This window comes from Homo sapiens, chromosome 3 (genome assembly GCF_000001405.40).
Source record: "Homo sapiens chromosome 3, GRCh38.p14 Primary Assembly".
NCBI classification, from domain to species: domain Eukaryota; kingdom Metazoa; phylum Chordata; class Mammalia; order Primates; family Hominidae; genus Homo; species Homo sapiens.
Genome location: NC_000003.12, coordinates 33,286,435 through 33,313,007, shown reverse-complemented (window position 1 = coordinate 33,313,007; position 26,573 = coordinate 33,286,435). Strand labels below are relative to the sequence as shown.

Genomic DNA, 26,573 nt, shown 5'->3' with positions numbered 1-26,573 from the left:
GCTGGGACTACAGAGGCACAACACCATGCCAGCAAATTTTTTGCATTTCAGTAGAGACGGGGTTTCCTTGTGTTGCCCAGGCTGGTCTCAAACTCCTGAGCTCAGGCAATCCACCTGCCTCAGCCTCCCAAAGTGCTAGGATTACAGGGGTGAGCCACCACTCCTGGCCTATCATTTCAATAACTGCAGTGATATCTCCTCTCTTATTCCTGAAAATGGTAAATGTTGTCTCTTTTTCCTCCTAGTCAGTCTGGCTATTAGGATAATAAATAATTTATGTTAAGTAAGTTAAATAAATAAAATAAATAAATAATAAGTTAAATAAGCGTTAAAGAGAGAGTATAATATATAGTAGCTAAAAGCTTTAACAATGTAGATTTAACACAACCATTAAGAAATGTGGGCTGGAAGCCAGATAGCCTTCCCAGAATCTCCGGATGGGCTGACTGGTGATAAGCTCTCCCTGCTAAAGCCACTCTGCCAAGATCAAAGTAAGTCCCTACTTCTTCAAATGCATAGACACCAATGCACAGCCACAAGAATCACAAAAATCAGGAAAACATAACACCATCAAAGGAACAAAATAAAGCACCAGTAACCAGCCCTAAACATGGAGATTTACAAACTGCCTGACAAATAATTAGAAATAGGCCAGGTGCAGTAACTCATGCATGTAATCCCAACACTTTGGGAGGCTGAGGCAGGAGGACTGCTTGGAGCCCAGGAGTTGGAGACCAGCCTGGGCAATATGATGAGACCCTGTCTCTACAAAAAAATTTAAAAATTAGCCAGGTGTGGTGGCACGCTCCTGTGGTCCCATCTACTTAGGAGGCTGGGGCAGGTGGATGGTTTGAGCTCAGGAAGTCGAGGCTGTAGTGAGCTATGATTGCACCATTGCACTCCAGTCTGGGTGACAAAGTGAGACCCTGTCTCAAAATAAAAATAAAAAAAGAATAAAAAATAGTTGTCTATCTATATTGCATAGCTCACTGAGCTACATTAAGACAACTAAATGAAATCAGAAAAACAATACATAAACAAAATTAGTTCAACAAAGAGACAGAAATCATAAAAAGAACCAAACAGGATGGATGCAGTAGCGCATGCCTGTAATCCCAGCACTTTGGGAGGCCAAGGCGAGGGATCATGGGGTCAGGAGATCGAGACCATCCTGGCTAACACGGTGAAACCCCGTCTCTACTAAAATACAAAAAAATTAGCCGGGCATGGTGGCATGCGCCTGTAGTCCCAGCTACTCAGGAGGCTGAGGCCAGAGAATTGCTTGAACCTGGGAGGCGGAGGTTGCAGTGAGCCGAAATAGTGGCACTGCACTCCAGCCTGGGCGAACAGAGCAAGACTCTGTCTCAAAAAAAAAAGAGCCAAACAAATTCCGTAGCTAAGAACACAATGACTTAACTGAAAAATTCTACAGAGAGCTTCAGCAGCAGACTTGATCAAGCAGAATAAAGAATCAGTGAGCCCAAAGACAGGGCATTTAAAATTCATCACTCAGAGGAACAAAAAGGAAAAAAAATGAAAAAGAGTGAAGAAAGCCTATCAGAATTATGAGGCACCAACAAGTGAAGTAATATATACCCATTATAGGAGGGTGGATCCCAAAAGGAGCAGAGAAAAAGAAAAGTGGGGGCGGGTAGAAAGCTTATATAACTAAATAACAGAAAACTTCCCAAGTCTGGGAATAGATATGAATATTCACACACAAGCAGCTCAAAAATCTCCAATCGGGTTCAATCCAAATAAGACTACACCAAAACACAGGATTGGCAGACTGTCAAAAATTAAAGAAAGAGAGGATTGTGAAAGCAGCATATCACATACAAGGAAACTTCAATACACTTATCAGCAAATTTCTTAGCAGAAACCTTACAATCTACAAGAGAATAGGATGACATAGTCAAAATATAGAATTTGGCTGGGTGTGGTGGCTCATGCCTGTAATTCCAACACTTTGGGAGGCCGAGGTGGGTGGATCACTTGAGGTCAGGAGTTCATGACCAGCCTAGCCATCATGGTGAAACCCTGTCTCTACTAAAAATACTGAAAAATTAGCCAGGAGTGGTGGTGTGCACCTGTAATCCCAGCTACTCAAGAGGCTGCGGCAGGAGAATCACTTGAACCCAGGAGGCGGAGGTTACATTGAGCCAAGATTGCACAACTGCACTCCAGCCTGGGCAACAGAACTAGACTCCATCTCAAATGTTTTTTTAAATATATAATTTTTTTTAAAAAAACCCTCCCTACTAAGAATACTTTACCCAGGCAAAGCTGTCCTTCAGAAATGAAGGAGAGACAGACTTTTCCAGACAAATGAAAAAAAGCTTCAGGAGTTCATCACCATCAGACCTACCTTACAAAAAATAATTAAGGATAATTCTTAAAGATAAAAGAAAATATATGTTAATAAGATAAAAACATGAAAGTATAACTCACCGGTAAAAATACATAGTAAAATTCGGAATACTCTAACACTATAATTATGGCATATATAAGTCACATATGTTTAGTATGAAGATTAAAATATAAAACTATTAAGAAGCAGGGCATGGTGGCTCACGCCTGTAATCCTAGCACTTTGGGAGGCTGAGGTGGGCAGATTACCTGAGTTCAGGAGTTCGAGACCAGCCTTGGTAACAATGGTGAAACCCCATCTCTACTAAAATACAAAAAATTAGCCAGGCGTGGTGGCGTGAGCCTGTAGTCCCAGCTACTCGGGAGGCTGAGGCAGGAGAATTGCTTGAACCCAGGAGGCAGAGATTGCAGTGAGCTGAGATCGCACCACTGCACTCCAGCCTAGGCAACAGAGCGAGACTCCATCTCCAAAAAAATAAAATAAAATAAAATAAAACTATTAAAAATAAATATAGCTACAATAATTTTTAAGTGATACACAATGTTTAAAAATGTAAATTATGACATCAAAAACCTAAAATGTCAAGGGGAGGAAAGAAACAATGTAGAGTTTTTGTATGTGACTTTTTTTTTCCTTTTTGTAGAGAAAAGGTCTTGTTATGTTGGCATGCCTGGTGTCAAACTCCTGGCCTCAAGCGATCCTCCCTGCTTAGTCTCCCAAAGTGCTGGGATTACAGGCGTGAGCCACTATGCCTGGCCTGTATATGATTAAAGTCGTTAACAGCTTAAAATAGCGTGCTATAACTGTAAGATGTTTTATGTAAGCCTTGTGGTAGCTACAAAGCAAAAGCTTATAGTATATACACAAAAGATAAAATGTAAGGAATGAAGGCATACCACTACAGAAAAATCATATAATCACAAAGGAAGATATCAAGTGCGTGAAAAAGAAGAATGAAGGATCTATGAAATAACTAGACAATAATTAACAAAGGGGCAGTAATAAGCCCTTACCTAGCAATACTTATCTTTAATGTAAATGTGTTAAATTCTCCAATCAGAAGACATAAAGTAGCTGAATGTATTTTTTTTTAAAGACCCAACTATATGCTATCTGCAAGAGACCCACTTTATCTGCAAGAATACACATAGACTGAAAGAGATGGAAAAAGATACTCCATGCAAATGGAAATCAAAAAGAGAGACAGAGTAGCTATATACTTATATCAAATAAAATAGACTTTAAGTCAAAAACTGTAAAAAGAGACAAAGTGATTATATAATGACAAAGGGGATCAATTCATCAATAGAATATAACAATTGTAAATATATAGGCACTCAACATCAGAGCACCTAAATATATAAAAGCAAATATTAATAGATCTGAAGGGAGCCATAGACTGCAATATAAAAATGGCAGCTGGTAGAAGACTGCAATACAGAAATAGTAGATAGAGATAGTAGATATCCCACTTTCAGCAATGGCACATTATCTAGATAGAAAATCAATAAGGAAATATTGTACTTGAACTACACTTGAGATCAAGAGGACCTAACAGACATATTTTGAATATTCCACCCAACAGCAGCAGGATACACCTTCTTCTCAAGCACACACAGAACATTCTCCAGGATAGATCATATGTTAGGCCACCAAGTAAGTCTTGACTAATTTAAGCAGTTGGAAATCACATCAAATACGTTTTCTAATCACAATGGTATGAAACTAGAAACCAGTAAAAAGAAGAATTTCTAAAATTAAACAACATGCTTCTGTACAACCAATGGGTCAAAGAAGAAATTAAGAGGAAACTATCAAAAATCTTGCAATAAATGAAAATGGACACACAACATACCAAAACTTTAAGGATGCAGCAAAAGCAGTTCTGAGAGGGATTTATAATATTATAATATAGCATTAAACACCAACATCAAAAAAGAAGAAAGATCTCAAAAAATGGGGGCTGAGAGAAATAGGAAGAAGAAAAATTATTGCCTGTTTTTAGTACTCATGTTGATGACAACTGTGTTAGTGTCATTCTGAGGCTGTTATGTGTGTAATGTAGAATAAAGCAAATGAGTACTTACAGGATATTCTAATTCTACAATCTCCTGTGCCAGAACTAGGACTATCAGTGTGGATGGAAGAAGATAGAGACATAAGATTGATGACATTAAGTGATACCTGTAGTCCTAAATTGGAATGAGCAATATAAGTATGAAATTATGAGTTTCTCATATGATATAAATTCAGTGTACTGAAAATGCCTAGAAATAATAACCAGTCCAATAATCATGAATATCTCTAGCAACCAGACTATAATCTTGAAATACCCTTTCCCACAGAAAGAAACCAATACTTCTAAAGAAATGGCTAATTCCAGGTCTGGGATAGGGACTATATGAGATGAGCCTGGTATATCCTATCTTAGATAGGAAGTAAACCAGAAAAAGCTACAAGAAGCCAGGTGCAGTGGCAGGTGCCTGTGGTTCCAGCTACTGAGGAGGCAATGGCAGGAATATTGCTTGAGCTGAGGAGTTCAAGGCCAGCATGGATAACACAGTAAAACCCTGCCTCAACAAACAAACAAACAAAAATAACAACAAAAAACTAAAAACAAACAAACCCTACTAAGATCATGTAAATGGACTCAGGAGCCAAAGACAAGACAATGTGATTTTCAATAAAGGTAATTTCAATGGACTGAAAATTATCAAATATGTTTAAATTCATAAATTTATAACTTTTTAAAAAAATCTATGTGGTCACCTTCAGAGGATGAGAAACCAACTAGTTTTTATTTTTAAATAATTTCTGATTTACAGTAAAGTTGCAAAAGTATGACAAATAATTTTTGCATATTCTTCACCCAAATTTGCCAAAGCTAAATTATACTGCATTTGCATTATCGTTTTCTCTACATATTTAATATATTATATATATATCTCTCATTTTCTCTGAAATGTTTGAGAGTAGGTTGTAGACATGATGCCCGTTTACCCTTAAATTCTCAAATATTTCCCCCAAACAAGAATATTCTTTTACAAATGCAGTATAATTATCAAAATAAGGAAATTAACAGTAATATATTACTATTATCTAATCTACAGATATTATTCAAAATCTGCCAACTGTCCCATTAATGGTCCTAATGCAAAAGAAAAAAAAATCTGACCCAGGATCCAATTCAGGATCATATACTGCATTTGGCTGTCATGGCTTCTCTTCAGTACCCATTAATCTGGAACACTTCCTCAGCCTTTATCTGTCATAACTTCAATATTTTTAAAAGCAAATAGGCCAATTACTTTGTAGAATGTCCTTGTGTGTATATCTGATACTTCCTCATGATTAGATTCGGGTTATAAATTTTTGTCAGGAATGCCACAGATATGATATTGTGCTCTACATCGCATGAGCAGGCATATGATGTCTATCTGTATTGTTACCAGTGATGCCAACTTTGATCATTTGCTTAAGTGGTGTCTGCCAGACTGCCCTATTATAGTTAGCATTTTTCCTTTTGTAATTAACATTTATCTAGTGGAAAGACTATTTGAAACTATGTAAATATTTTGTTTCTCATCATACCTTTATATATCTCATTATTTCTAAAACTGGCAAATAAAAGGATAGAATCAAGCATTTCCCCCACCTTTCCTATATAAAATATAACACTAGGCACTCAAATAGAACTGAAGTGCCTGTTTATAAAAGTATTCCACTAAGTGGGAAGAAAAAGAATTAAGAGTATCACCACTTTGCAGCCCCAATAAATTAATGATGTAGACAATAAGCATCGACACTAGCATCTGAAAAAAGATAAAACCAAACATTGTATGACTCCTGATGAACAAATACAGCACCACAGAAAGTCCTACCAAAGGGGTAGAATCAATCTTATAAAGTCTCTGGATCCAACTGTGAATCTTCCAAGAAATATAAAGGATGGAAGAAACTTGAAATTGCACTGTGAGGACACAATAAGCATCCAGACTGTGGGAACTTCTACAGGCCAAATAACCCAAGTTCTTCAACAGACAAATGTATGGAAGAGAAAGATATGGAGAGGGGACCTGCAGATTAACTGAGACTTCAAAGATTTACAATTTTTTTTAGATGGGCAAGACTAGCTGTAATGTCTAAGGATGCACATATAGGTGATAAATCTACAAAGAAATGAAACATAGTGATAGCTATAAGTCAAGATAGTGGTTCCTTCAGAAGAGGAAAAAAGCAGTTGTGATTTGGGCACAGAGGTGCTTCTTTGGTGACTGGCAAAGTTTATTGACTTACGTGGTGTCTACAAGGATATTTGTTTCATATATTTGTTTTGTGTAGTTCTCTGACTATATATTGTATTTTATGATAAAGCTTTTTAAAAAAACACGTATGGGTCAAAGAAGCAAAAGCGGTACGTGATAAATATTTGAAACTGAATAAGAAAAACACTACAGTTCAAAATTTGTAGAATGCAACAAAAGAAGAGCTTTGAGTTAATTGTCTAAGGCTCAAAAAATAAGCAATTAAATGTCCAACTTATGAAGGCAGCTAAAGAAAACAGAATAAAACGCAAAGAAAAAATTTTTACAGAGACATGAATGGAAACTATTAAAATAGAAACGAAGAAACAATAGAAAAGAATGAAGCCAAAAGCTAGTTTTTGAAGACTAATGAAATAGGTAAACTTCTAGTGAGATTAATCAAGGAGGGAACACTTGAGCATAAACTAACGATATTAAGGAAGAAAGTAACATTACAACAGATACAGCAGAGTTTACAAAGAAAATAAAAAGACAGCTACCAAGAGTTTTACCAATGTAAAACTCAAAGTGGACACACTCCTAGAAAAATAAAATTAGTAAAAGTGACTCAAGAAAAAACAGAAAAAAAGCTTGAAAAATACTATTCATTTCTAACAAATTAAAGTAATAATTAATTTCCCAAAAAGAAAATTCTAGCCTCACATAATTTAATAGTTCTAACAGACTTTCAAGGAACAATTAAACCAAGACAAATAGATGCTTTTGGAGGACAGAAAAACACGTGCATACTGCTCAACTCAATTCTTTGAGGCTTATATTAATTCAAAAAAAAATCAGATAAAGATAGTATGAGAAATAAATTTGTGGGCCCTGGTCACTCAAAAATACAGATGCCTTACCAAATATGTAGTATTGACACACAGAAAATACTAAATACTAGAAATAGACTCATAAATACATGACAGAGGTGATAGGGCATTTCTATGTAGAAACGAAAGGATCATTCAACAAACGAACCTGGAAAAAATTGATAATCCATATGCAAAAGAAAACAAAAATGTATTCTTATCTTATATATAAACATATGTACCACAGTGATTAAAAACTGAAATATCAAAAACAAAATTTTTAAGCTTTCAGAAGAAAATACATGTGACTATCTCTTTGTCTTCAGGGTAAGGAGGAAGTTCCTTAAGAAAGCACAAAAAACGCTAAGCATAAAAGAAAAGATTGATACATTTGACTTCACAAAAGGTATTCATTAAAAAATGCCTTAGAATGTGAAAAAAACAAGTTAGAAGATGGGATAAAGTATTTGTCAGCTAAACATTAATATCAGTACAAAGATTATACTGAGAATATAAAGAACTACAGATCAATAAGCCGATAACCAAATAGGCCAAAAACAAAAATACGTGTTTCACTGAAGAGGAAACACGTGTGACTAATAAACATATGAACAGATGCTCAACATTACTAGAATCCAGGGAAATTCAAAACAAAAGCACAATAAGGTGCCATTCTACACTTCTTTGGCAAAAATTAAGACATGCGACAACACTAAGTGTTGGAAAGAGATTCAGTTTGGCACTGAATCTCTTATCCACTCTTTGTATGAACATAAACTGGTAAGACCTCTTTGGAAAAATGATTTAATATTTCTTTATAAAGTTAAATATCTGTATAGCCTATAACCCTCAGAAATTCTACTTTCAGAGAAAATTGTGTACTTGTGCACCAGGAGACATCTACGAGGATGTCCAAAGCAGCACTGCTCTTACTGATAAAACACTGGAAACAACCAAAATACTCAGTAAAGGGGGAAAAAATAAAATTTTAGTACATTCACACAGTAGAATATTATACAGCAGTAAAAATGAATGAGCAACAGCCAATCAGAGCAACAAGAATCACCTTTCATAACAGAATTTTGAGTGAAAAACATTTCTAAGAATATACCATATACTTTTTTTACGAAGTTAATAAACAAGCAAAAGTAAACATATTGTTTAGTCAAAATATATTTAAGATAAAAAGTTTTAAGAAGCAAGAAATCATAAATACAAAGTTGTTGATAATATTACCTTTATGGTGGGGAATGAGGAGGGGCAGCATTTATGTACATTCCTTATACTACAAAATGAATAAAAGAGGGCAATGCATGGATCAATGGTAAAATGTATCATTAACCAAGAATTATGAGTAATCCAATTCTGCATAACTGAAGTTTTTAAAATGCTGCAGTAATCATCCTGTATATATGCCTCAGTGTGCTTTTGCAAATATATGTTAGTAAATTTCTAGAAATGGAATTTGTGAATACATACATTTAGCATTTAAAAAATTTTTTCCAGTGGCCCTACAGAATGGCTGCTACAGTTTATATTCCCACCTAAAGTATCTCGTATCTCCTTGCCAAAACCTAATATTATCAAACTTTTGGGTAATATCTTATTGTTATTTTGATTTGTATTTAAATATGGGCCTTGTTGAGCATCTGTTTATACATTTATTAGCCATTTGTATTTCTTCTTTTGTTAGTGGCCTCTTCAAACTGTATTTCTAATAAAATCAATCTACCTTTATCTTAATAATTTTGATTTTCTTTGCATATTGAAGAATAATGCCCTTGCTTATAATGTATATCTAATTATTTCATCCACCACTGTACTATTTATCTTTAGTATGGTATAATTTTACCATACTTCACGATTCATACAGTCAAATTCACCAATCTTTTCTGTTACTGAATTCACAGTTTTTAAATGAATAGATCTCTAATATAATTTGCTAGGAATAAGGCTCTGAGGCAAAATGTATCTAGTTTCTATCCTTCCTATCAGAAAAGCTCTATTGATGTTTCATGGCATCTCAATATAGATATAAAATCCAAAGTCATCCTCAGAGTTTTCATATACAAGCATAACCCCAACCTAGACTAAAGAAAATTTGCTTCTGCCAATTTGGACCTTGGTGCCAACCTTAAAACAGTACATAACAGTTTAGGGAGGTAATGAAAATGAGGGCTTTTAAGCTTCTGCATTTGATTTCAACATACACATTTATTCAGTCCCACACTGCCACACACAAGTCAAAAAACAACCACGAGAGCGAGCAAACCAACCTAAAAAAACTCTTCGGCAAAGAGGGAAAATCTGCATAGATGCTTAAATTTGAAATTGAAGCATGTACCCCCAAAAGAGCATCTTACCTGTTAGGATGCCCTGGTATATAAGGCAGCAGGCACCACAGACAGCAGGAAATAGAGGCAGCAGTCCTTTAAAAAGCCCATGGAGTGCTGAAACCAACCAGCAGGCAACAAGACCTACTCAATGAGACCCATAGCAGGAATGAGCCCTTTACTGTACTGCTTGCCAAGGACCTATGATAAGCACTGGGCTATATCTTAATGATTCCAACAAAAACCATAATGATTTTCACTCATGGGATTGGCTTACAAATTTAAGAAAAGGAAAATTTGAAAATGATGTGCTAGTCATTTTATAATTTTCCCAAGCAAATTCAACTACTAAAACTGTTGTATTATATGAAATTGTGTCTTTGATTTCATATTGCCCAGAATTATTAGGCTCAAATCCCTCATTTGGGGCAATGAAATCTTCCTTTATCAAGCCAATAAATTTTATCATGTATCCACACAAATTTAAAAAGGAAAGAAAATTACATCAATAATAGTAATTTAATGTTTTAAATGTGTCTAGTAATTTTCTTTCATTATTATTTATGACTAACTAGAGCTTTGTCTCCTCAGGATGTTTTAAGCTGTTTACTGCAGGTATCACTTGCTGTCTCCTATGAGGGGTTTTACATGTGCTTTTACTTCATCACTAACATCTGAAAGCAACCATAGTAGAAATTAAAACTTAAAGTCAAATTACTATTATAATTTATAATCTGAGTTTTAGGTCAATATTCAATTCACAGAAGACATTTTTTTTTCTCAAAAAGGGAAGAGTTCCCTCCAAGAGACTATCTTTTTTTATAATGCAAGGTAATTGCAGTTGTAAATCAGGTGTCACACCACCACACATTTGCTTAAGCAACAGTAATTGTCAGTTTAATATAAGATAGTAGTATGCAATTTCTACTGAGATTGAATTCGTCCAGTTTAATGAAATGAAGCATTGGGCCTTCACAGAGTTACTTAATAATCAGGTACTTTACTGAGATATTGTTAGCAGTAGCATATATTAAGATCCATATTAAGAGCTGGATTCATCAGTTGTTTGCATTAAAGCTGACTGCATTGTCAAATAGCATTTATTAAATATTCGGGCATCCAAAAATTGATATTAATATACAATAAGAGCGAACATTTATTTAATACTTACATGCCAGGTACTCTAAGAACAACAACCCCATAAGGTAAGAACTATTACTATTCCCATTTTATAGATGGGCAAATTAAGGCCCAGAGAGTTAAGTAACTAAGGTCACACAACTAATAAATAAGAAGAGTTGAAATCTGAACCCAGAAAGTCTGATTCCAACAGTAATATGGACAATAACAATGTGAAAAAATATATGCAAGGATACTCCAACTCACTAATAGATAATGGTTGCAACAAATTAAGTACTTCCACTGTTATAAAAATTATGTGACTGACTCCCCAGGAAGAATAATACTAAAAGCTGTTTGTTGGGCTATGTGAGAGCAAAGGGTAGGGAAAAAACTTCAGTAGCCTTAATTTATGAGCAAGAGCTGGATTTTAAAAAGCAAAACTGTAAAAACTTGTTCAGTAACAAACTAAAAATGGGTAGTAGAGAAGGAATCTGTAAATAATATATATTCGTAAAACTATCAATAAAATCAGATGAAAAGAAAACATAGATTTTTCTGAGTGGATTCAAAGTGATAACAGAGAGATGAAAAGCAGCATATTATTCCAGATTATGCTTGTTAATGGTTCCAAAGGGGAAGCTGAAGCTTCGGTTGATGTGATCAGTATTGGAAGCTAGTTGAGAATTAAAGATGGCAGTAACAGAAGCAGTCAAAAGTGGCAGAAGAGAAAATGATCTGGACTGAAAGCAAATAGGTCTGTCTCAAAGTCAAAGAATTCACATGTATTGAGGAAGTAAGACTGAAGGTGAATAGGAATTCAACAAGATTAGGAACAACAGACTACACTGTCCCAAAGAAGTCTACAATATGAAATAAAAATATAAGCCAAGGGTAGACAATGAAGACATAATTTAACTGAGCAGAAAATAATAAAGATTTAAGCTTCATGAGGTGGGGGCTTTGTTACACCCAATGTTGTGGAATTAACTAATGATGAAGATGGATGCTTAGGAAATCTGGTTCAAACCCTTCTTCAACATTTTTCTTAGAAAGGGTAGCTAGGAAAGGCCGGGCGCAGTGGCTTACACCTGTAATCCCAGCACTTTGGGAGGCCAAGGCGGGCGGATCACAAGGTCAGGAGATCGAGACCACGGTGAAACCCTGTCTCTACTAAAAATACAAAAAAAAAAAAATTAGCTGGGCGTTGTGGCGGGCACCTGTAGTCCCAGCTACACAGGAGGCTGAGGCAGGAGAATGGCGTGAACCCGGGAGGTGGAGCTTGCAGTGAGCCAAGATTGCGCCATTGCACTCCAGCCTGGGCAACAGAGCGAGACTCCGTCTCAAAAAAAAAAAAAAAAGAAAGCATAGCTAGGAAAAGGGGGAAAGCTACACAGAGAATGGAAAGTCTGAAAGTAAAATGACAGAAATGATTTAAAGGCCAGCAAAAAATTCTTAAATTAAAATACATGGTTGGCTAGAGTTAATTTTGAGACTCACAAGTTGGAGAAGATCTGTAGTGGCAATATTTTAAATTCCCCTTACAGACTCTGAAATAAGAATACAAGTGGGAACATAAGTCTATGAAGAGACATTAACATTTGCTCACAAATGGCAATTCTTTCTGAAAAGTGATCTATGTATGAGCTTTATGGCATGATTCAAAAGCTATAAGTAGTGATGACAACCTCCAGAATTCCTAACAGCTGAGTCCATCATGGATCTTTAAAAGAACTGAAGTTTCCAAGACTGCAGTTTAGAAATCACACTACCATAGAAAGTGATATAATTCCTTTTTATTTTTTTGGTATCAACAGACAGAAACTGTTCTATGGCTCAGTGGAGTACAAAAGCAAACCCCACCAGAAGGAAAAAACCATTCAGTTAGTAGCCTTGAGTCACAGCAGAAGTATGCATGAGAAGGGTGGAGTTTAATCACACCCTAATGTTTAGTGACCAACATGGGCCTGCCTGAAGCTGCTTATGATTCCCCAGGGTAAGAATACCATATTTAGATTACAGCTTGATGCCCACTCTAGAGAAATGTTCAGACCCAGACTGCAAGCACTGCATAATCCTAGGGGGCACCATCTACACTGTAGTCAATGTGGATGGCATCCGTGCAGTTGTATAGTGACAATCTGCCCACCGGGACACAGCGGTATTGCTTCTAACAACTTACTGTGCTTGAGCAAAGCCTTTTGGGTTTATATGGCAAACATACATTTCTTTCTTGTCACCACTTTCTTACCTTAAACTTGTCAAAAATGCCAAAGAACATTCTCTCTTATCCAAATATTTGTCTTATTGGAAAATATAATTGATATTTTTCATACAATCCTGTCTCAGTTTTTTTAATCAACTGAGAAGGAGCTCATGACAACAGTGTCAAACAACACCTGATGACTAATGAAACACCCTCTGAAGTCCCTGAAATGTGATCACTACCACAAAGAAGCTAAGTCCTTACCCCATTTCTAACTGAAGGAAAAATGTCTTAATAACCTGATGACAGCAAATGTGAGTAATCTGTGGCATCTACAAAGTGGTTCTGTGGTGAACTTGGGAAGAGATGAAAATAATTATTCCCAATATTTAAACAAAACTCATAGTCATTCCCCAAATGTTAAAGTGAGATTTAGTACAGCCAGGGAATGGAGTCATCTGGTCAATCTCTTATTGTATGTCAGCATTTCCCCCAAATTTTCTGTGGAATATTAAAAGGATTCCGGCCGGGCGCAGTGGCTCACGCCTGTAATCCCAACACTTTGGGAGGCCGAGGCGGGCGGATTACCTGAGATCAGGAGTTCGAGATCAGCCTGGGCAACACAGTGAAACCCCGTCTCTACTAAAAATACAAAAATCAGCTGGGCGTGGTGACACATGCCTGTAATCCCAGCTACTCAGGAGGCTGAGGCAGGAGAATCGCTTGAACCTGGGAGGCGGAAGATGCGGTGAGCCGAGATCATGCCATTGCACTCCAGCCTGGGCAACAAGAGTAAATCTCCATCTCACCAAAATAAATAAATAAATAAATAAATAAAATTAAAAAAATAAAAGGATTCCATTGTCAGTAAGTTTGAAATGGCACAATTACCCAACTTGTATCATCGCCATGCACATTAGCCTATTAAGGCCCTGTGAAGTCCTATAGGTTTTGTTAACCCTATAGGACTACAGTTTGTTTCCTATAGTTATTTGATCACAAAATCTGGTTTCTGTTGCTGTTGTTTTGTGGAGTATCAGTGATAAGAGAAACAGTTAGGGGAATGACTATCAAGGATTACCATGTGTACACCTATTAATTCCTCATAAAGAATTAAAATATAACAACATCTAAAACAAAAATAAGCTTTTTTTTTTTTTTTTTTTTTTGAGACAGAGTTTCACTCTGTCACCCAGGCTAGAGTGCAGTTAGCACAGGCTAGGCTCACTGCAACCTCTGCCTCCTAGCTTCAAATGATTCTCCTGCCTCAGCCTCCCAATTCTTATGCCTCAGCCTCCCCAGTAGCTGGGATTACAGGCGTGCACCACCACGCCTGGCTAATTGTTTCGTATTTTTAGTAGAGACAGGGTTTCACCACATTGGCCAGGCTGGTCTCAAATTCCCGGCCTCAAGTGATCTACCCACCTCAGCCTCCCAAAGTGCTGGGATTACAGACATGAGCTACCACTCCTGGCCTTAAAATAAGATTTCTTTTGATGATTGCATAATACTAAAGAAAACTGAAGTGCCTCCAGGCCAACAAATGTTTGCTGATAGCTTTACTTAGTAAAAACAACAACCAAAATAACATTTACTGTATATTCAGTGATGCCAGAAACAAAAGACAAAAAGCCTATTTTATACTACTGTCACTTATACTTCTCATATGAATAAAAACATACCAATACTTGGGGTTGACAGCATTTTAAGTGCTAAGAACATATCATAACTGTGCTTATTTTTTGCATTTATTTTAAAACTCATTTGTCTGAAAACATCAAAAACTTTATGACTTCAGGAGCTCACAACCTTGCAATAATGTCTCCTCATATTACTGACTTCATCACGATTATCTACTGAAAACAAAACAATGGCACCTACTGAAGATTATTACAATACTTACCACATTACAAAAAGAATCCAGACCAATGCTATGTACATACTTAGTACATTCTGGATTAGACCAAGTAAAATTTAACAACAAGCTGAACAGCATTCTATAAAACAAAAACAAAAAGTCAGTTAGGCTAATTCTGTCTGTTTTTCTATGCTATGGACTCACAGTGAGAAAGAAGATAGTCTTGGAACTTGATGACTAAATCAGATCTAAACTCTTCATCCAGAATTTATCTACATTTACCTTAACAGAAGTTCTTTGGGTAACTTTTTGTTAATAAGGCCTTCATCATTGTTTGAGAAAACCTGGAAAGAAAAAAAAAAAGGAAATTGTGAAAATGTTCTTTAATCAATGTGGAAAAAATTAATTGTTTTTATACTACTAGATCAGAACGGCCCCAATTATTGTCCTACAAATAGGGTGTGACTAATTTCATGCAGCCACCATATTCTAATATTGAGTAATATAAAATATTTTATGTCCTATCACTGTTTCATAAAAATGGCAATACATGGCCATTTGATACTACATTGTACTAGAGGTTCTAGCCAAAGCAATTAGACAAAAGATAAAAAAGACATCCAGATTGGAAAGGAAGAAGTAAAACAACCTCTATTTGCAGATGACATGATCTTGCATATAGAAAATTCTAAAAATGCACAAAAATCAATTAGAACTAATCAAGGAGTTCGGCAAGGCTGCAGGATACAACACATAAATATACAATATAGTTATATAAAAATAAACTGTATTTCCACATAGTAGCAATGAACATCCTGAAAATAAACTTCAGAAAACAATCCCATTTACAACAGCATCAAAATGAACAAAATACTCTGAGATAAACTTAACAAAGGAAGAATAAGACTTCCATATTGAAAACTTATACAATACATTGTTGAGAAAAATTAAAGAAGGCTTAAATAAATCAAAAGACATCCATGTTCATGAACTGAAAGACTTACTAGTGTTATGTTAGCAACGCTTCCTAAACTAATCTATAGATTTAATGCAATCTTTCTCAAAATTACAGCTGCCTTTTTTACAGAAATTGAAAGGCTGATCAAAAAATTCATATGAAAATGCAAGGGACCCAGATTAACTAAAATCATCTTGAAAAGGAAAAACAAGAGTTGAAGGACGCAAACTTCCAGATTTTGAAATTTACTACAAAGCTACAGCAGTTAAAGCAATGTGTTCACTGGCATAAGGGTAGACATATAGATCAATGGAACAGAACAGATAATCTAAAATAAAATTATAAAACTGGCTAAAATAAAGAGAATCCAGAAATAAACTCTTAAATTTATGAGCACTGATTTAAATGGAGAAAGAAGTCTTTTCAAGAAATGGTACTGGTACAACTGGATATATACAAGCAAAACAATGAATTTGGACCCCCTATCTCACTTCATATAAAAAAAAATTCAAAATGGCTCAGCGACTTAAATAAATATAAGAGCTAAAATTATAACCCTTAGAAGAAAACATAAGCATAAATCTTGGTGGCCTTGGATTATGCAATGGTTTCTTAGATATGACACTGAAAGCATAAACATCCAAAAAAAATTGATAAACTGGACTTCATCAAAACAAAAGACCTGGCTGGGCGTGGCAGCTCATGCCTGTAATCCTAGCACTTGGGGAGGCCAAGGCAGGTGGATAGCTTGAGGTTGGGAGTTCAAGACCAGCCTGGCCAACATGGTGAAACCCCATCTCTACTAAAAGTACAAAAATTAGCAGGGCATGATGGTGCATGCCTGTAGGCCCAGTTACTCAGGAGGCTGAGGTGGGAGAATAGCTTGAACCTGGGAGGCAGAGGCTGCAGTGAGCCAAGATCACGCCACTGCACTCCAGCCTGGGTTACAAAGCAAGACCCTGTCTCAGAAACACAAACAAACAAACAAAAGACCTTTGTACTTCAAAGGGCACCATCAAGAAAGTGTAGGAAAAAAACCCACAAGATTGGAGACAATATCCGCAAATCACAGATCTGAGCAGGCACTTGTATGCAAACTATAAAGAACTTCTGAAACTCAATAAAAGACAACCCAATTTTACAATGGGCAAAAGATTTGAATAGACATTTCTGCAAAGAAGATATGTAAATGGCCAATACATACATGAAAAGATGTTCAACGTAAGGGTAAGACAAGGGTAAGTCAAAACACAGTGAGATGCATCATACCCATAGGATTGGCTAAAATAAAAAAGATACTAATAAGTAATGGTGAACATGTGGAGAAACTGGAACTCTCATACACTGCTGGTGGGAATGTAAAATGGCATAGCCACTTTGGAAAACAATCTGGCAGTTCCTCAAAGGTTAAAAAGAGTTACCATATGACCCAGCAACTCCACTTGTAAGTCAAGACTAAAGAGAAATGAAAATATATGTCCATACAAAAACTTGTCCATGAATGTTCATAGCAGCATTACTCTTAATAGCCAAATAGTGGAAACAATTACAAAATGTCCATCAGCTGATGAAGGGATAAACAAAATGTGGTATTCCAAAATGTGGAATATCAGTCAGCAATAAAAAGGAATTAAGTAATGATACATGTTACAACAGGAATGAGTCTTGAAAATATGCTATTGAAAGCAGACAAAAAAGGGTACATATTGTATGTTTCAATTTACATTAAATGTCCAGAAAAGGCAAATCCATGGAGACAGAAAATAGACTAGTAGTTGCCTAGGGCTGGAAAGTGACTGTGAGTGTATATGAGGTTTCTTTTGAAGGTATGAAAAAATTCTTGAATTAGACAGTTGTAACAGTCACACAACTTGGTGAATATACTAAATCCCACTGAAGTGTACTTTTTAAGTGAGCAAAATTTATAGTATATGATGAATATCTCAATTTTTAAAACCTGGATTAAAAAAACAATCCACCAAAACAAACTGCAGAAGTGGAAATAGTGCCATAAATAGTAACTTACATTTATTTTCAAAGTAGTGTCAATGATGAATCTTTGTGTTGGATATATGAGACTAATATTTAGTAAGTGCCTACTGTATTCCAAGTTCCAGTGAGCACTATGTTAAATAGCTAAATTATCTAATATATTTCTAGTTCCTTGAGGTGCAAAGTTACTGACTGGACTTTTTTTTTTTTTTTTGGAAACAGGGTCTCACTCTATCAGTCAGACTGGAGTACAGTGGCATGATCACAGCTCAATGCAGTCTCAACCTCCCTGGCTCAAGCAATCCTCCCACCTCAGCTTCCCAAGTAGCTGGGACTACAGGTACATGCCACTACACCCAGCTAGTTTTTAAAATGATTTTTTGTAGAGATAGGATCTCCCTATGTTGCCCAGGCTGGTCTTGAACTCCTGGGCTCAACTGATCCTTCTGCCTTAGTCCCCAAAAGTGCTGGGATTATAGGTGTGAGGCACTGTGCCTGGCCTTTCTTCTTTTTAATGTAAGCATTTACATTTATAAAGTTCCCTCTAAGTATACTGCTTTCATTGCATCCCATATGATATATTTTCATTTCTATTCATCTCAAAGTATTTTTAAATAGCCATTATTTCTTTCACCTATTGATTAATAATGTGTTAATTTGGGGCCAGGCACAGTGGCTCATGCCTGTTACTCAAGCACTTTGGGAGGCCAAGGCAGGAGGATCACTTAAGACCAGGAGTTCAAGGCTAGCCTGGGCAACATAGTGAGACCCGACTCTACAAAAAAATTTAAAAATCAGCAGGGCATGGTGGCATGTCCCTATGATCCCAGCTATCCAGGAGGCTAAGGCAGGAGGATAGCTTGAGCCCAGGAGATTGAGCCCACAGTGAGCTATGACCACGCTACTGCACTCCAGCCTAGGCAACAGAGCAAGACTCCGTCTCAAAAAAAATAAATGTTATTTTCACATATTTGTGAATTTTCCAGTTTTCCTTCTATTATTGATTTCTAGCTTCATTCCATTGTTATCCAAGAAGATACTTAGTATTATTTCAGTCTTTTTACATTTATTGGAACTTGTTTTGTGGTCTTACATATGTCTGTCCTGAAGAATGTTCCATGTACACTTGAGAAGAATGTCAATTCTGGTGTGATTGGGTTAAGTGTTCTACATAACTCTGTCAGGTTTCATTGACTTATAGTGTTGTTCAAGACTTCTGTTTCCTTATTCTGCTGTCTAAATGTTCTATTATTGAAAGTATGGTACTGAAGTCTCCAACTGATGCTGGGGTTAGTGGTGAATGACATGAAAACCTTCACATATCTCAACAGTCAGAACAATTGGCTTATTTTCTGTTATTACAAAGACTAGTGAATCAAAGTTGTGAGATTTCACCCCAATACAGGAAAAAAAAAAACTTTCTAGCAATTAGAATAGGCCATACTAGAATGTCTTGCTGTTGAAGCAGTGATTCCCCCATCTTCAATGCTCCTGTAGAGTCTACAGAACCAGTATTGTCAGAGAAAGGAATCCCTTCTTCAGTGGGAAATGAGACTAGGAAACCTCTAAGGATCAAATCTAATTTCCCAAAAGAGTCTTATAATCCAAGATCTTCCACTTACACCTTTGTAAACCTTGGGCATGTCATTTAACTTTTCTATGCCATAGTTTCCTCTTCCTCAAAATGGGGATATTAATGGGACCTGCCACTTTTCTATGCCATAGTTTCCTCTTCAGCAAAATACGGATAGTGATAGAACCTGCCACAAGGGCAGTTGTGAATGAAATGAGTCCATAAACGTAAAGTGCCTAAGACAGTCTTGGCATATAGTAAGTGCTTAACAAATGGTAGCTATGATGACAGCTGTGAAGTCTCCAATTACTATTATAAAACCACTTCTCAGCTAGGTGCAGTGGCTCACACCTGTAATCCCAGCACTTTGGAGGGCCAAGGTGGGAGGACTGCTTGAGGCCAGGAGTCCAAGACCAGCCTGGTCAACATAGACAGACCTCCATCACTAAAATAGAAAAAAGAAGAAAAAATTCTCCCTGCATTTGTCACTTTGCTGCATATATTTGTGGCTCTGTTGTTTGGTGCATATGTGCTTATAATTGTTATGGTTCCTGTAGGAATTAACCTTTCATCAACATATAATCACCTTTGTCTCATGTAACAATTTTTATTATAACTTAGTCTATTTTGTCTGATATTAGTATAGCCAACCCAGCTCACTTTTAACCTGTCTTTTGATTGATCTAACAAGGGTCTCTTGCAGACAACATAAAATTGGATCATGTGGGAAGTTTTTTGCTTGTTTTTTTTTTATCCATTCTGCCAGTGTCTACATTTTAGTTAGTAAATTTAATCCTTTTGTACTTATAGTAATTACTAATAAGGAGGGACTAACATCTGCCATTTTGCTGTTTTTCAAATTCTGTAGTGATGTGTAGTGCTTCATAAATGCCAAGGATCAAGTTGGTTGATAGTGGTGTTCAAATCTTTTATATCCTTACTGACTTTTTTTTTCTTCACAAGTTCTGTCAATTAGTGATAGAGGTGTTATATTCAACTATGATTGTGGTTTTGCCTCTTTCTCTCTTTGGTTTTGCCAATTTTTGTTTCATGTATTTTGAAGCTTTGTTGTGAGGTACACACAAATTTGTTTTGTTTGTTTGTTTGAGACAGAGGATTGCTCTGTCACCCAGGCTGGAGTGCAGTGGCATGATCTTGGCTCGCTGCAACCTCTGCCTCCCAGGCTCAATGATCCTCCCACCTCAGCCTCCCAAGAAGCTGGGATTACAGGTGTGCACCACCACACCCAGTTAATTTTTGTATTTTTAGTAGAGATGGGGTTTCACCATGTTTGCCAGGCTGGTCTCAAACTCCTGAGCTCAAGTGATCCACCTGCCTCGGCCTTCCAAAGTGCTGTGATTACAAGCATGAGCCACTGTGCTTGGCCTGTTATGTATTTTTAATAAATTGATTATTATAGATGATCCTTTTTTCTAGAAATGATCCTTGTTTTAAAGTCTACTTTGTTAATATAGCAACATCAACTTTCTTATGCTTTTTGCATGGTATATCTTTTTCACCCTTTTTCAATCTGTGTTTCATATTTACAGTGATTCATAAAGACAGCACATAGTTGTACCACACTACTTTATCCAGCCTGACAATTGCAAACTTTTAATTGGAGATGATGGTCTTTACATTTAATGTAATTACTGACATGGTTGATTTTAAGTCTGCCATCTTTATATTTATTTTCCATTTGCTTCTCTTCTTTGTTCCTCTATTCTGCTTTCCTGACTTTTTCCATAATGTGATATTCATTCTGTTTCCTTCACTGATCTTACAGCTATACCTCTCTGTATTTTTTTTCAATGTTTGCTTTAGTGATTATAGAGTGCATCTTTAACTTATCACAGTCTAACTTCACTTGACTTCCCCTGCTTGTTGTGCACTTACTGTTGGATAGCTTACTTCTACTTCTACTATATACCAAATAATATGTTATTATTTCTACTTTAAATAGTCCATATTTTTAAAATAAATGTATGTATTAAAGAAACATATTTTAAAAGGTCCCTTATATTTATCCATATATTTACCCTTCCTGGTGTAATTCATTCCTTCAGATCTGAACTTCCTTTATTATAACTTCCCTTCAACTTAACTTCTTTTAACATTGTAATATAGGTCTGATGTAGACAAATTGTTTTTGCTTCTGTCAAAAATATCTTTATTTCTCCTTCACTTTTGAATATTGAATTCCAGGTTAGCAGATTTGCTTAAGAAAAAATACAGCACTTTAAAAAAGTTCTTCCAGGCCAGGCACAGTAGCTCACGCCTGTAATTCCAATACTTTGGGAGGTAAGTCAGGAGGATCACTTAGCTCAGGAGTTTGAGACCAGCCTGGGTAACACAGTAAGACACTGTCTCTACAGAAAATTTAAAAAATTAGTCGGGCATGGTGGCATGCACCTGTAGTTCCAGCTATTCAGGAGGCTAAGGTGGGAGAATTCCTTGAGCCCAGGACATTAAGGCTATAGTCGGCTATATTCACACCACTGCATTCCAGCCTGAGCAACAGAGTGAGAGGGTCTCAAAAAAAAAAAAAATTATTTCATTGTCCTCTGACCTGCACTGTTTCTGACAAGGTGTCAATTATTCATATTACTGTTCACCTTTATATATATTTTTCTTTTCTACCTCCTTTTAAGATTTCCTTTATAAAAATTTTTGATTTTCAGAAAGTTGAATCTGATGTACCTCAGTTCAGACTTCTGTCCCTGCTCTTCCTCCACTCCTTGAACTCTAGTTACAGGTATATACTAGACAATTTTGTATTGTCCCACAGATCTTGAATGCTGATTTTTTATTGATCTGTCCCTAAGTTTACTGGTGCTTTCTTCTGCTGTGTGCAGTCTGCTATTAAGCCTATCAAATGAATTCTTCATTTCTAATATATTTTTCATTTCTAGCATTTCTACTTGGAGAAATAGTTTACATCTTTATCTTTCACACTTTACATCTTTCTGCTGAAATTTTCTCTGTTTATCCATGTTGTTCAACATCTGGGCCATCACTGAGACTGCTTCTGTTGCCTCTTTCTTCCCCTGACCATGGATCACATTTTCTTGTTTCTTTGTATATCTCATAATTTATTTCATGCCAGATACTGCGTATAAAAGAACATTAATTTATCTCCATAAAGGAAAGTTCCTTCTTCAATTAAGTTGCTGGGAAACTGGGAGTGGAGGCTCAATCCTTTTAATCTATAGTTGAGCTGGGTTTGAGATTGTAGTGTTAGTCCATGATTGCCTTATAATAATTTCAGGGTGAAATCAGAACTTTACCTTCAGGAGAAGCTAAAATCTGAGCACTGTTGAAGCTTCACAGATCTCTGAGCTTCATAACCTATGCAAGGTTTCTTAACTGTGAGATATCTTCCCTCCTCTCTGCCCTCCCCTCACATTCCAGCTTTCAGCTAGGGTGTTGTCCTTGGTCTCCAGTAGCACCTTCTGCTTTCTGTGCCTTGAGGAGATCTCTCTTTGCTCTGTTACCCTGACTATGCCTTCTCAAAGGCTGGCTTGTCCTCAGTAAAAGCCTAGATAATCATAAAGAGATTTCTTAGCTGTCTTGCCATGCCCCCAGCCTGTTGCACGCCCAGGCTTAGATTTCATAAACCCCCTGGTGCACTACAGGGATTTCTCTTAACTCTCCTGCCCTGCCCCCAACCTTCAGCAGAATCCACCCACCTCAGCAGGACCCTTCTTAGCTCTCTTTCCCTTGCCCCAGCATCCGAACTCCTATTCCAATGTACTAATTGAAGGCCCATGGGAAAAGTTGGCAGGTAGGTGTAGTCCTGCACTGTAGCTGGAACTCCTCAGGATTCCAAACTGTCACTCCAGCCTATGTGCAGTCAGTAACTGTTGACTTCTCTTTAACTATCTATTGCAAATTCTTCCTCTTGCTGTTCCACCATAGATGAAAGTACCTATGTATCTCTTTTTTTTTTCTCTTGAGAAGGCTCACTCATTACTTTCCAGATTTTTGTTTCTTTAGATTTTTTTGTGTCAACTCTGATAGGTTTTTTAAAATTATGATTTTGTACCTTCTCTGACTTTTCTCACTACCAGAGTGGGAGCAATAATGTCAACTGTTGCAATTTGCAACATCGTAACAGGAAATGGAAGTCTTTATTATCCTTTTTGATGGAAGAAAAACAGACTTGGAGAAAATAAATGACTTGACCAAGGTTCAGAGCTAAGAAACAAAAAAGCTACAATTTGAACTTACATCTCATGACTACAACTCCAGGGCTCTTTATGCTGCACAACAGGTAGTATAGGCTGTTTGACTCTGGGAAAGTCATTTAACCTCTCAGTATTTAGTATTACTAGCTTGTAAAAGGAAACGACTGTACTAGATAAACTCGAAGTCTCTTCCAACTCTAACACTTCAAGAGTCAATGAAGTCCAATTCCTGCTTTCTTCATCCCTACTCCAAACTTTCTCCTTCCATGGTCTTCATCTCAGCAAATGGCAGTTCCTTCTTCCTCTTGCTCAGGCTCAAATCATCAAAATCATTTATATTCCATAACCAATCCATCAGCTAATCCTATGGATTACTGCAACAAAAATGCCACAGTCACCCTGCTTTGTCCCTTCTCCCCTAATTTTACTCCACAATGGTTCTCTTATAAAATATAAGTCATATATGCCACTTCTCTACATAAACCCCACCAATCCCTTCCCCTTCCCTCACAGGAAAAGTCAAAATCCTTTACATAGGTTAAAAGTCCTACATGATTTGACTCCCTTAACTACTTTGATCTTACTTCCTACCACACTACCCTCTCTTACTACACTCCAGCCCCACTGGTTTTCTTGCTGTTCATCCAACACACCAGGCATGTTCTTGCCTCGGCACCTTTGAGTAGTGCCCTCTCTTGACACAGTCTTTCTTCAGGCATTCCCATGGCATATCCTCTGCTCAAATGTCACTTTATCAGAGAGGCCTTCCCTTCTATTCTACATTAAAAGCAACACATCCCTTCCCTCATTCACTCTCTAACCCTACCCTAGAATTCTTTCTCTCCTACCCAGCTTTATTTTTCTCCAAAGTACTTTTCACCACCTTATCTGTTTATTATCTGTCTCCCTGCCACTAGAATATAAGTTCCATGAGAGAAGAGCCATACTCGGTTTGCGCACTGCTGGATATCCACTGACTAGAACAGTCACTAGCACACAGTAGCACACAATAAATATGTGTTGGACAGAAACCCAAAGAACAAAAAAAATCAATGGAAAGACGCAGCTGTAGAGGCAGCACTGAGAACTGGGAAATCTGAGTTTGAACCTTGATTCTGACTCTATTAAAAACTTCCCAGTAAATGCCCTGTTCTGTCTCCTTAGACTTCCCTGCTCCATCCCTGTCTCTCTCATGGCCACCCTAGTGCTGGAAGAGGAAGTGGCTGATATAGACACTACACAGGATAGCAGTGAGATTCAAAGTGAGGTAGAGAAAACAGCAATAAAAGTGTAGCCAACCCATAGCTGTCCATATCTGAGCTTTGGTTGTCTGAACTGGAAAACCAAAAAAAAACCCAGTAAATCCTTCAGGATGTCATTAGACAACATGACAACAGCTTGTCATAAAATTTAAAAGAGACTGCTGACTCAGCTAAGACATTAAGACTCTTAATCTTGGTGTAATTAGTACATTTGTGCCAGGCACTGGGCACAATCTTTAGTTTGGCAAGAAGCCATAATGTAATGGTTAAGAGCCCAGGCTTTGGAAACAGACTGGTTGAGTTCAAATCCTGGCTCTGCCACTCACTAACTATATGACCTTGGGCAAACTGCCTACTCAATTTAGCCCTATTAAATGGGAATAATGTCAAACTCAGGCTGGGTGCAGTGCCTCACATCTGTAATCCCAGCACTTTGGGAGGATGAAGTGGGAGGACTGCTTGAGCCCAAGAATTCGAAGTTGCAGTGAGCTGAGCCACTGTACTCCAGCCTGGGTGGCAGAACGAGGCCCTGTCTCCAGAAAAATTAATAAATAAATAAATAAAATTAAATAACAAATGCCAATTTCTTAGGGACATTGAAGAATTGAGTAAAATAAATGTGATCAGCCCAGAACTGGATACAGAGAATGGGTTCTATAAAAGAAAGCTATTGTTACAATTACTAAAAATTACTCCCTACCACACAATAGTACAGACAAAAGGGAGATGAATATTGTCAAGAGAAAGAAAATTAATAGAGAAATCTCTACTTTCCTTGATCTATTAACATAGATCTCATATAAATTCTCTTAACTGTGTCATATAATGACAAAAAACTGTCTGTAAACCTTGAGTTAAAAAAAAATCACTTTAGGGTGGGAGGTTCCAAGATGGCGGAATGGGAACAGCTCCAGTCTATAGCTCCCAGCGTGAGCGATGCAGAAGATGGGTGATTTCTGCATTTCCAACTGAGGTACCAGGTTCATCTCACTGGGGCTTGTCGGACCGTGGGTGCAGCCCATGGTGCAGGGTGGGGCATTGCCTCACCTGGAAAGCGCAAGGGGTCGGGGAGTTCCCTCTCCTAGCCAAGGGAAGCCGTGACAAATGGTACCTGGAAAATCGGGACACTCCCACTCTAATACTGCGCTTTTCCAATGGTCTTAGCAAACGGCACACCAGGAAATTATATCCCGCGCCTGGCTCAGAGGGTCCCACACCCACGGAGCCTCACTCATTGCTAACACAGCAGTCTGAGATTGAACTGCAAGGCAGGAGAGAAGCTGGAGGAGAGGGGCCCGCCATTGCTGAGGCTTGAGTAGGTAAACAAAGCAGCCGGGAAGCTCGAACTGGGCGGAGCCCACTGCAGCTCAAGGAGGCCTGCCCGCCTCTGTAGACTCCACCTCTGGGGGCAGGGCACAGCTGAACAAAAGGCAGCAGAAACTTCTGCAGACTTAAATGTCCCTGTCTGACAGCTTTGAAGAGAGTAGTGGTTCTCTGAGCACGGAGTTGGAGATCTGAGAACAGACAGACTGCCTCCTCAAGTGGGTCCCTGACCCCTGAGCAGCCTAACTGGGAGACATCTCCCAGTAGAGGCCGACTGA

The 26,573-nt window shown here is 37.3% G+C and overlaps 1 protein-coding gene across 26 annotated transcripts in view; it reads right to left on the bottom strand.

The window, feature by feature from the left end:
* The window catches only part of FBXL2 (F-box and leucine rich repeat protein 2), a 145,674-nt gene that overhangs the window by 109,691 nt on the left and 9,410 nt on the right, over window positions 1-26,573 (bottom strand). For 12 of the 26 annotated variants that reach the window (NR_146121.2, NR_146132.2, NR_146124.2 and 9 more), the window contains exon 2: window positions 15,283-15,344. Coding sequence is in view for 3 of the 26 variants with exons in the window: in NM_001349316.2 (NP_001336245.1) it covers window positions 15,283-15,344 (62 nt within the window). In the remaining 23 variants the exon portion in view is untranslated. Of the gene's footprint in view, window positions 1-9,847; window positions 9,935-12,436; window positions 12,487-15,045; window positions 15,140-15,204; window positions 15,345-26,573 lie in introns of all 26 variants that reach the window. The other 14 variants (NR_146122.2, NR_146123.2, NR_146125.2 and 11 more) reach the window with 6 other exon arrangements.